Source organism: Homo sapiens, chromosome 5 (genome assembly GCF_000001405.40).
Source record: "Homo sapiens chromosome 5, GRCh38.p14 Primary Assembly".
In the NCBI taxonomy this organism is placed as follows: Eukaryota; Metazoa; Chordata; class Mammalia; order Primates; family Hominidae; genus Homo; species Homo sapiens.
The window spans coordinates 82,257,090-82,270,038 of record NC_000005.10 but is presented as its reverse complement, the minus strand read 5'-3'; positions in this window follow the sequence as shown (position 1 = coordinate 82,270,038).

Below are 12,949 nucleotides of genomic sequence, written 5' to 3'. Positions count from 1 at the left end.
AGCCCAGTTAAACATAAACTGTGTAGAGGTGTTGGACTTAGTTTATTCTAGTAGGCCCAACCTCCAAGACCACCCTTAAACATCAGTAGACTGGGAGCTGTACGTGGATGGAAGCAGCTTCGCCAACCCCTGCAAAGTGACTCTGAAGAAGACGACAAGCCCTGCCCCAGTCACACCCGGAAGCTGACTGGTCCACACACGGCCGAAGCATGAGGAAATGCATCGCGGGACTCATTTTCCTTAAAATTTAGAGTTGTACAGTAAGGACTTCAACTGACCTTTCTCAGACTGAAGGCTGTTCCCAGTATTTACATCAAGTCACTGAGGTAGGACAAAAGATTGCTACAGTCCTATTATTTTATAGTTATTATGAATGCCTAGGAACTCCAAAAGGAACCTATTTGTATAATAACACCCAGTACAAAGTATGTAATCCAGGAAGTGACCAGCCCAATGTGTGCTATGACCCCTTTGAACTTCCCATGATCACAGTCTTTGAAGTAAGACTAAGAACTGGTCGTTCTCTAAGGGACACAAGTAAAATAATAGCTAGAACAGAAGAAAGAAAGGTCCCCAAAAATGTAACCTTAAAATTTGATGCCTGTGCCGCTATTAATAGTAAACAGCATAGGATAGGATGCAGTTCTCTAGATTAGGAAAAAAGTTACACAGCATAAAATAAGTACATCTGTCAAGAATCATATTTATGTGAGATATGTCAATACTGGTCTTGTGTCATTTAGGCTACTTAGAAAGAAGATAAGAAAGATCCTGTTTAGCTCCAAAAAGGAAAAGTCAGCCCCTCCTGCACGAGTGGGAGCTGCAACCTTTTAGAATTGATAATTACAAACCCCTCAGACCCAAAGTGGAATAAAGGAAAATATGTAACATTAGGCATTGATGGAAAAGGACTAGATCCTAGTGTAAGCATCCTAATAAAAGGAGAGGTTCAAGAACGCTCTTCAGAACCAGTCTTTCAGATTTTCTATGATGAACTAAATGTGCCAGTACCTGGGATTCCAGGAAAAACTAAAAATTTGTTTTTGCAATTAGCCGAGCAGGTAGCCCAGTCTCTAGATGTCACTTCATGTTATTTTTGTAGAAAAACTGTAATGAGAGATCAATGGCCATAAAAAGCCCAAGAATTAGTGCCTACAGACCCAGTTCCTGATGAATTCCCAGCCCAAAAGAATCACCCTGATCATTTCTAGGTTCTAAAAGTCTTAATTATTGGACAATATTGCATAGCTAGAAAAAGGAAAAAATTCACTCATTCTGTAGGATGACTTAGTTGCCTAGGACAAAAACTGTATAATAGTACCACAAAAACAGTTACACGGTGGAGTTCAAACCACACAGAAAGAGATCCGTTCAGTAAATTTCCAAGGTTGCAGACTGTCTAGGCCTACCCAGAATTCCACCGGGACTGGACTGCCCCCACCAGGTAATACTGGATATGTAGACATAGAGCCCATGCTAAGCTGCCTAATCAGTGGACAGGTAGTTGTGTAATTGGCACCATTAAACCATCTTTCTTCCTACTGCCCATAAAAACAGGAGAACTCCTAGGCTTCCCTGTCTGTGCTTCCCGTGGAAAACGAAGCATAGCCATAGGTAATTAAAAAGATGATAAATGGCCCCCTAAAAAAAATTATACAATACTATAGGCCTGCCACTTAGACACAAGACAGATCATGGGGATACTGGACCCCCATTTACATGCTCAACCAAATCATACGGTTGCAAGCTGTTTTAAAAATCATCACTAATAAAACTGGTCAAGCCTTGACTATTCTGGCCCAGCAAAAAACTCAGATAAGAAATGCTATCTATCAAAATAAATTAGCTCTTGACTACTTGCTAGCAGCTGAAATAATGGTCTATAAGAAATTTAACCTTACTAATTACTGTCTACACATAGATAATCAAAGGCAAGTAGTTAAAAGGCATAGTTAGAAATATGACAAAACTGGCACATATGTCCATACAAGTGTAGCACAGATTCAACCCTAAAGCCATGTTTAGAAGGTAGTTCCCAGCACTAAGAGGATTTAAAACTCTTACAATAGGAGTTACAATAGTAATAGAAACCTACTTACTGCTCCCTTGTTTGCTACCTGTACTTCTTCAAATGATAAAAAGCTTCATCACTACCTTAGTTCACCAAAATGCTTCAGCACAAGTGTACTATAAAAATCACTATCAATCTATTGCACGAAAAGACATAAGTAGCAAAAATAAGAGTGAGAACTCCCACTAATAAAAAGTGAGAGTCTCAAAGGGGGGAAATGAGGGAAGAGAGAGACCCTCTCATACTGTTTTATATTGTTTTATACTCAGTATTTGTTATAAGAGAAAAAACAAGGAAGTGAAATCAAAGACAGGCAGCCCGGCACCAGGCCTAAAATCAGCCCTGGGCCTTCCTGGCCTAAACCTAGTAGTTAAAAATCAACTCATGACTTCGAACCCAATGTTATCCATAGATTCCAGGCATTGTATAAAAGAACATTGTGAAACTCCCTGTTCTGTTTCACTCTGACTACCAGTGCATGAAACCCCGGTCACGTAGCCCCTAGATTGCTCAATCAATCACGACCCTTTCATATGAAATCTTTAGTGTTGTGAGCCCTTAAAAGGAACAGAAATTGTGCACTCGAGGAGCTCAGATTTTAAGGCAGTAGCTTGCCGATGCTCCCAGCTGAATAAAGCCCTTCCTTCTACAACTCGGTGTCTGGGAGGTTTTGTCTGCGGCTCATCCTGCTACACTATCTCTACAAAAAAAATTTAAATTCGCCTGGCATGGTGGTGTGCACCTCTAGTCCCAGGTACTTGAGAGGGTCAGAGGATCGCTTGAGCCCAAGGGTTTGAGGCTGCAGTGACCTCTGATTGTGCCACTGCAATTCAGCTTGAGCAACACAGTGAGACCCTGTCTTAAAAAATAAAAAAAATAAAAAAATAAAAAATCCTGTTAATAGGATGACAAGACAAACCACAGATTGGGAGAAAATATTTGCAAAACACTTATCCAATAAAGGACTTACATCTAAAACAGAATTCTCTAAACAAAAAGTGAGAAAACACAATCCCATTACAAAATGGGCAAATATACGTCTCTTCACAAAAGAGATGGCAAATAAGCACATGAAAAGATGATCAAATCATTAGCCATCAGGCAAATGCAAATTAAAACCACAACAAGTTATCACTATAACCTGGCTAAAGATGCTGAGAATACCAAGTACTGGTGAGAAAGGAGGGCAACTGCATCTCTCATGCATTGTTGGTGGAAAAATAGTACAGTCACTCTGAAAAAGTGATACTTAACAACATGAGCCAGAAATTGTAGTCCCGGGTACAGGACTGAAATACAGCAATGAAAATAAGTGTCCACACAAAAACCTGTACATAAATATTCATGGCAACTTTATTTGGACAGCCAAGAAATAGAAACAACCTAAATACCCTTCAATGGGCCAATATATACACTGTGGTATATCCATAAATGATACACTATTCAGCCAGATTGTTACATAAAACAACTTCTATGAATTTCTAGGGCAGTATGCTGGATACCAGAAGCCTATCTCAAAAAGTTGTATCTGGTATGGATTCATTTATATAACACTCTTGAAATGACAAAATTATAGCAATGGAGAAGTGACCAGTGATCACTAGGGATTCAGAATGGGGGCAGAGTCTGACAATAAAAGGAAGGATCGTACGAGGGAGTTTCTTTGTGGGAATGAAACACTTCTGTGTCTTTATCTTGGTGATATTTATGGAAATCAATACTTGCAGTGGAATTTCATAGTACTATACACACAATAAAAACATGTAAAAATTGGTCAGTGAGTAAATTCTGTAGTTAATAGTTTTGGACTAATGTCAATTTCCTACTTTTGAAAATATACTCTGGTTATGAAAGATACTATCATTTGGGAAAGCTGGATGAAGGGTATACACAAACTATTCTATTGTTGCAACTTCTTGTGTGCCTTAAATTATTTATAAATAAAAAGTAATGTATTTATATATATGTATATATAAAATTTACAAATGGGTAAGTTAATTTAGTCTGTTATTTAATCTGTATTCTCTTTATTTGCCTAGCAAAGCCCAAACCAATCAGAAATTGTTATAGCAAAAAGAATCAGGAGATCACTTAGTTCTGTGGTTCCCAAACCCAGTGACATCAGAATTCCCCTGGGAAACCATCTTGAGGGTATCCATGAGAAATCTGTCAGGTAGTTCTTATGTAGCTACCCCCTGTTTTCTCCATTTGTGGTTATTACTGCTCTCATCTTAGAAGTTGGAAGCCCAAATAAGGCAGCTGTTAAGTATTTTATAAATAAATTTGCCCAAGTAATTGGCACAGCTCAAGTCAAAACAATAGTCTATTCTCCAAATGGAATTGTTCCTGTCAGAAACACCCCATCGCAAAACGATAAACACTGCCTTACAGGTAGCTACTTAGTAAACTCAGGCACAAATTTATCCGGGTATTTAGTAAGAGTTTTTGTTTTCTGTTTTGCGAAGGGGAGTAAATTTTCTGTGTGTTTGTATGAAAATATTGAAACACTCCAGTTACTGATGTTCTGAAAAAAAATTTTGAAGGTCTAAACACACAACACCTCAGATAAATGTGGGCCTTTTCATGTTATTTTTTGATAGCACTGAGAGACACAGTTCTAATATGACAGCTATAAAAATTCGAATGTGTATCTGTATGTGTATTGGATTCCTGTATTTCATTCCAGGAAAATGTCTAGTTGTAGGATTGGTCATAATGGTCACGCTGTGGATAATATTCCTGGAATCTGTTGGAAGGTTGTCAAAGTAGCTAGCGTTTTTCTTTATTGGCTTTGCATAAAGCCAAGAAAAGAGACTACGATAATAAATTACCATATTACAATAAAATGTTCACTAACAGTAACTTATGTAATCTTTATTTTAACCTATAAAATCTATGTCAGTGGATTATTTAAGCATTAACTCACATTCTCATGCTACTGTAGTTGGGGGACTGTCTTTGCTGGTTATACTGAGCAGTCTTCGTTTCTAACACAAATCTTGTCCTTATTGTTTGGTAAAGTGATATTATGTTTGTTAGTACCGGAGGAAGAGAAGTGGATTTTTATAGCTTATTGTCACACTAATGTCACCACAGAAGGTGTAGAGCAAACCATTAAAACATTTAACAATTAAATGTTTTAAAGCATAAATTGTCTCATAGAAGAAAATAGTTTTTTAGAGTGACACATTTGAAGGGAACCATGAGTGACAAATAACTAATATTTTCAAATATGCACATGCCCAGTCGCCACCTCATTCAGATGGTCACTTAAGCCTCTAATATATGATGTGTATCTTCAAAAACAAGGGAGCCACTCACACACAGCTCTCAGATGTGTGCGATGAGCACCATCACAAATTCCTTCCTTAATGCACTCTGCTTTCCAGCTGACCTGAAGCTTGCAAACAGCAATTCTGATGGTAAGGAGGGTAAGGAGGAAATCAAAGTCCCCAGGTCACTAGTCAGATCTAGCCACAGAAGTACCAGCTCCTTTTACTCTGCTTATTTGTGGTAATAAGTTATTGTTGGCATGAATTCTGTTCTCTAATCTAGTCACAGTGTGGGAGAAATTTTTAAATCTAGCCTTCTAAAACTTTTTTTTTGAGACGGAGTCTCACTGTGTCACCCAGGCTGGAGTGCAGTGGCGCGATCTCAGCTCACTGAAAGCTCCACCTCCTGGGTTCACACCATTCTCCTGCCTCAGCCTCCCCAGTAGCTGGGACTACAGGCGCCCGCCACCACACTCGGCTAATTTTTTGTATTTTTAGTAGAGATGGGGTTTCACTGTGTTGGCCAGGCTGGTCTCGATCTCCTGACCTCATGATCCACCTGCCTTGGCCTCCCAAAGTGCTGGGATTACAGGTGTGAGCCACCGTGCCTGGCCTAAAACTCTTTTATTATAGTTAATTAGAAATAGAAATCCGGGCACAGTGGCTCACGCTTGTAATCCCAGCACTTTCGGAGGCTGAGGCGGGCGGATCACCTGAGGTCAGGAGTTTGAGACCAGCCTGGCCAACATGGCAAAACCCTGTCTCTACTAAAAATACAAAAAATTAGCTGGGCGTGGTGGCGCACACCTGTAGTCCCAGCTACCTGGGAGGCTCAGGTGGGAGAATCACTTGAACCCAGGAGGCAGAGGGTGTGGTCAGCCGAGATCGCACCACTGCACTCCAGCCTGGGTAACAGAGTGAGACTCCCTCTCCAAAAAAAAAAAAAAAAAAAAGAAAGAAAGAAAAAGAAAAAAATAAATAGAACAAGGGGCTACATTGCTTGGCTGTGCTAAAAGTGTAGGACATACAGAGCAAACCCAAATTTCAAAGTGTATATGCTAACAGATGTATTATAATGCTTACTTACCTCTTTCAGCAACCAGCTAATGTTTAAATCTGTACAATAATGGGCAAAGTAAGACATGCTTTAAATAATTTTTCATTTCAATCACAGCTGAGAACAGTAGAGAGAACTGTTACTTTTTAAAACGTGTCTTGTTCATTTCTTGCTTTGGAAACTGGTATTAAATAGATTTTGTCATATCTTTTTTCTCCAATAGCTTTATGAATTTATCCAGCTTATAATAAGATTCTTTTTTCTATACAGTTTGACAACTTTAGGTACTCTGTTCGTGTGTGTTTGCAGGTAGTATGACAACTTTTCCCCCACAAGTTCCTAATAGGTTCCAAGTATTTCTCCAGGATCTTAATTATAGTATACAATAGTTGATTTTGTTTGTTCTGTATTTTACACATTTTCTTATATGTTTATAATTAAATACTTTTCTCCTTATCAACATACTCATCTTCCTCCTGCGTGTGTGTGTGTGTGTGTGTGTGTGTGTGTAATGAAAGAAAGCCATTGTGAGTGGAATTTATTTGCCAGGATTCCCATAGATGGATAGGGTTTGGCCCATAGGTGGATTTTAGAGGGACTAGGAACGCCTGAAACTATATGCAGAATTTTCCAATTATGTGTGTATATTTGTGTATATGAGTTCCTAACACAAGAAGCCAGCTACTATTTCAACCTGTACAACAATGAGGATTTAGTCACATATTACATAATTTTCCATTTTAATCACAGTTGAGAACAACTGAGAGAAGTGGACTGTGGTTTGACATGGTTTATGAGTGTTCCCAATGTTGTCCAGTTCTGTAGATGATCCAGTCTGCAGAACCTGCAAAATGCACATTTTACATTCTGCTTTTATTTCATGGCTGCCCTAATTATGGTCATTTTAGGGAAAAGTTCCCATGCTATTTGTAAAAATTAGAAAGAGGGCACAAAGCCTCACCCTCAGGCATAAAAGCAGAGGACAAAAACCCAAAGATGTTTTTAACATCTAAGAATGGAAGGAATAAATCAAATAAAAATGTTCAGTATGCACCTGTAAAAACAAATGACATAAAGTCTGTTACTGCTTAAAAGTATTTGAGCACAGTAAGAAAAAAAGGGTTAAGTGAAACAAATATGGCAAAATCTTGGTAATTGTTGATTCCAATTTATAGGTATGTGAAGGTTAATTGTACTATTTTTGCATATATTTGAAATTTTCCATAATATTTTTTTAAAATTACATACATATTCCAATTGTTTAACTGCATATTCTCTGGTTAAACTGAACCAGAACATGGACAATCTGCTCTTATAGGAGCACAATGGACATGTAGGGGCAATGAAGTCACAAGAAGAAGGTGAGAAAATGAAATTTAACATGCTAAGAAAAATATAACATATTAAGAAGAAATGAAGCTGAGGATCCACGAAATCTTAGCAAGACAAGAGAAAAATGTTTAATTCAGTGATTAAAGCAAAGTAAAATAATTTTCAAAGATTTAAGAAAATGATAAAACACAGACTGCTGCTGGGAATGTAAATTGCTATATCCTTACTGGGGAACAATTTAGTGACATGATCCTATATCCTTTGATCCATTAATTCCATTAACAGCGTAACCTAAAGAAACAAAATGTGAGCACAGGTTTCTGCCTACATTTCTCATTGCATTACATTTTTTTTTTTTTTTTTTTTTCTGAGACAGAGTCTTGCTCTGTCCTCCAAGCTGGAGTGCAGTGGCACGATCTCGGCTCACTGCAACCTCCGCCTCCCAGGTTCAAGCAATTCTCCTGCCTCAGCCTCCCGAGTAGCTGGGACTACAGGCACACGCCACCATGCCCGTCTAATTTTTTTTGTATTTTTAGTAGAGACAGGGTTTTGCCATGTTGGCCAGGCTGTTCTCGAACTCCTGACCTCAGGTGATCTGCCCACCTCGGCCTCCCAAAGTGCTGGGATTACAGGAGAGCCACTGCGCCTGGCTCATTGCATTACATTCTGAAAGCTCTTTGAGGGTAGGGGCTTTGTCTGCCCTACTGACCACTATATTCCTAGAACAGTTCCTGACACGAAAAAGTGCTGAAATGAATGTATGTTAAATAAACAGTGAGGAATTAGAAAAGACCAAAACTCAAACAATAGGATAATTATTTGGTACATTTTGGAATAGAAGAAATCCTAGCTAGTCATTTAAAATAGTATTTTCAAAGAACATTAAATGACATGAGAAAATGTTCCAGATATATTGTTAAGTGGAAAAAAGCAGGATGTAAAACCATATACAGGATGCTCCTAATTAAATATGTTTAAACTAGCACAAGGAAATACATAAAAAATTTAAAAGCAGTTATTCTAGATGATATACACTTCAGTGATTTTTAAATATTCTCCTTCAAATTCTTCTGTGTTTCCCAAATTATCTATGAGGACTCAAATCTTTTTTTAAAAAGGAATTTCTAGTTTTACATTCTATGGATAGATTAAGTCTAGCATTACAAAAAGAGCCAAAGTCTTCTTTGATTACTTCCAAACCAAGTTCCCACTCTATACCTGCAAAGAGTGATCAAAGAAGTCTTGGATCACCTTTTTTACAAGTTTGGTGTCCTTCCTTCTAGATCACTTTTTATATTTTTCATACACTTGCAGTATATGTACCTATAGAAAATACATGGTATTAGTGCATTTTAAAATATAAACAGTATCAAGCTGCATGCATAGTGACTTCTTAGTCTATTTTGTGCTGCTATAATGGAACACTACAGACTGGGTAATTTAAAATGAACAGAACTTTATTGGCTCACAGCTCTAGAGGCTGGGAAGTCCAAGATCGAGGGGTTGCATCTGGTGAGGCCTTTTTTACTGCTTCATAACATGGTAGAAGGCATCACATGGGTGAGAGAGAGTAAGCAAGAGGGTGCCAAACCCATCCTTTTGAAAGGAACCACTCCTGCAACAATGGCATTATTTCATTCAGAAAGGCAGAGTCCTCATGGCCTAATCATCTCTTAAATGTCCCACCTCTTAATAACTGTTAGAACAGTGATTAGCTTTCCAACACATACATGCTTTTTGGGGGGACACTTTCAAACACAGCTCATAGTTAACATCTACTATTTGTTTTCTGTTTTAACTCAGTAATGTTTCTTGAGATGTGCCCATTTTGATACATGGAGATTGAATTCATTCCCCTTAACTGCTACATAGTACAACATTTTACTTAGCCATTTCCCTATGGATAAGCAGGAAAGGGCCTGGGGACTGTTTCTTTGAAGCTACTGAAGGACAGCACGAGGAGACTACATCTCACTCTGCTGCTGGTCGGGAGAAAGAAATCTGCTCACAGGATAGGGTGGGTGGCACTTCTTGAAAGAAGAAAGCAAGTTCAATCCCTGATACCTGCAGAACAGAGACCAAGGAAGACGGTCCAGGCCTGGACAGGGACTCCCAGTATAGAATGTAAGCCATAACCAAGTCATAACAAGTGTCTTCTCATTCTCTTCACATCAAGTTCTGGTTCTCAAAATGTCTCTGACACTGATTTCTTTCTCTTTACTCTGTCACCTTCCTAACTTAGAAATTCATCACTTCACCACTACATTAGCTTCTTGGCCTCTATCCAGTTTCTCTTCCTTCTAATCCATCCAATTTACCACTTCCAAATGAGTCCTCCAACAACTACACATAGTCAACTTTCTCTGTTAAAACCTTGAAAGGTGCCCTGTTGGGTCCTACTCATGGTTCCCTTTTTGGCCTTCCATGGCCCCTAACTTAAAAGCTTAGCTTTCTAGCCTCTTATCAAATTCTCTGTCCTTCAAGTCCCACATCTTCTGTGATTCTTCTCCAGGGCTTCGTGATCACCCACATATTCAAACATTCAACAAAGATTTAGTGAGTGCTACCAAACACCAGGCACCATGCGAAAGCCTGAGGTTCTGGCATGTACCTGTAAATAACAATGCACCAAAGGCTGTAGCTATACTGAACTATGATTTCCTTTTAATTTATCAGGGCATGCTTTGTTAAATTTCTGCCTCATGGTTATAACCAACAGTGACTTCTGGGTATTTGAAAAGCTTCAAAGTAATCCAAGAAAGCATTACACAGCTATAGGTTTTATTTATTATTATATAGAGTTGATTTGAATGTAGGAATACATGTGAGTTTTCAGTTTATTTTTAATAATTTACAAAATGAGACCTGGTGGTCACTAAAATCACTTTCAGCTCCAATGGTCTAGAATGCAAGATACTTGCAACAGAACCACTAGATGTCACTACTAACAATACAAAAGTTAAAGCAAGGGCTTGAGATCACAGGATTACTGTAAAGAACTACCAGATTTAGGAATAAAAATGTGAAAATGCTTCCATAGAGAAGCCCTGTAAAAATCCAGAGGAGTAGCTTCAAACACCTTTGTGCACATGAAGTGCCGCAGAAACAATAATTGTTAAGTACTTCCTATACCCTTCTATTAATAGAATAGCCTTCAGCAACTTACTGGTCAGCAGCATAAGGAGAATCAAGTCTTAGAATAGGAAGGAAGCTTATTTGTCCATCAGTTTTCAGATTTCTATTTTCTGGCACTAGAAATACAGTCTATGTTACAACCCAGTGCACACGTGCATGTGTGCGTGTGTGGACACACACACACACAGATTTCATATATATATAAAATATATGTGTGTGTATATATATAAAATATGTGTGTGTATATATATATATATAAATATATATATAAAACATATAGTTGAAACCAAAGTTTCACAAAACAATAATGCCCTTACTATGTGTAGTGCACTTTGATATTTTCTTTTTTATGTATTCTATTTCATTAAAAAAAAAAAAAAACTGGCTGGGCATAGCGGCTCACACCTGTGTAATCCCAGTACTTTGGGAGGCTGAGATAGGAGGATCTCTTGAGCCTAGGGGTTCAAGTACAGTCTGGGCAACATAGTGAGACCTCATCTCTACAAAAAATAAGCAAAATTAACCAGGCGTGGTGGCATGCGCCTGTAGTCCTAGCTACTCAGGAGACTGCAATGAGAGGATCCCTTGAGCCCAGGAGGTCAGGCTGGAGTGAGTCAAGATCAAGCCATTGCACTCCAGCCTAGGCAACAGAGTAAGACCTTATTTCAAAAAAAAAAAAAAAAAAAGCTTGTTACAAAACAATAAATTGATTTTACTCAATCAAATACACTTTCTTATGTTAATATATCAGAAAACAGAGGCCCAGAGAGGTGCAGTGACTTGCCCCAGGTAACTCAGTAGTCAGAATTCAAGGCTTTTCAGGACACTGGCAGGTTTTGTTTTGGAAGACCCTAGGTAAAAACTGAAGTGTCTTTGGCACAATCTCAGCCCCTGCTGTGCTCCTCAACCTTCTAAATCCTGTGGCTAAGACACTGCAGTAAAAACAAAACAAAACGAAACCTGACAAAGTGTATGGATGATTAGTTATATGCAGCAGCCATTTAAAAATACAGGTTCTTTCTTAAACGCAAATGTGATCACTTTAACTTTTCTATTTGAATCCCAGCAGTGGCTGTGGTTTTCGGGCCAAATACAAATTCTCAGTGTGACAGTAAAGACTCTTCCCGAGCTGGCCCCAGTCCTGCTCTAGCCAGCTTGATTCTTCACCACTTCCCTACAAGCACCTTCAAGATTCTTCCTTCACTCTTGACCTGGCTAAGTCATAAGGTTTTCGAGACTCCACTCACATTCCTCTTCTGCAAAGCCTTCCTTGGCATGTGCTTGCCCACAGCATGCAGCCTACTGTTCCTGAAGCTTCCTCTTGTGTGTCCTCTCCACTGGACTATGGCATTCTTATGTCTCCCCATTTGCTATCTGTGGCACCTGGCCTAGGATTCAGTATGTAAGAGGAAATCTGCTTAAGTGAATATTTTCATATTCTCATTCTTAAATTTTAACCCTAAAAAAACCTCACTGGAATATCTCTGGATTATGTAAGAGCTGATTTTGACATTGCAGAGCTCTATTTCCTAATATTTTGGGAGTATGAATAAAAACCACTATACCTATCATAGGAGAAATACATGCAAAAACCCAGTTCTGGCCTTTTTTCTCTTGATTTTAATAAGCCTTTGTTGGGGGGAAGGGGAATTTTGTTTTTTTAACCTCTAGCTCGTAGGCTAGTACCTGCTGAGCAACACAGCCTCTGCTCCCCTCACTGCTCCCTCCACTGGTCCCTCAAAGAGTTTTCCCACCTCTCAAATTCCCAACCCAAGAGCCTTTCTACTTAGGTGGCACACACAGACATTCTTCTGTGTATGCTGCAACACAGCAAATCAAGGACAGTGGCCAACACCTGAAATGACTTAATTAATACTTATCAAGTTGGGGAGAAATTAGAGCGGAAGAGAGGCAGCTAAAAGCTCATAGTGACTAAGGATGGTGAGTAATGAAGGGAGCACTGATTGGGGTCTGTGGTGGTCAGAGGTGGCTTTGTGACAGTGAATCACCAACACCAGGGTGGGAATTGGGTAGACCTGTGGGGAAGGAAGCACTTCCAGGTGGGCACCAGCATAAGCAACA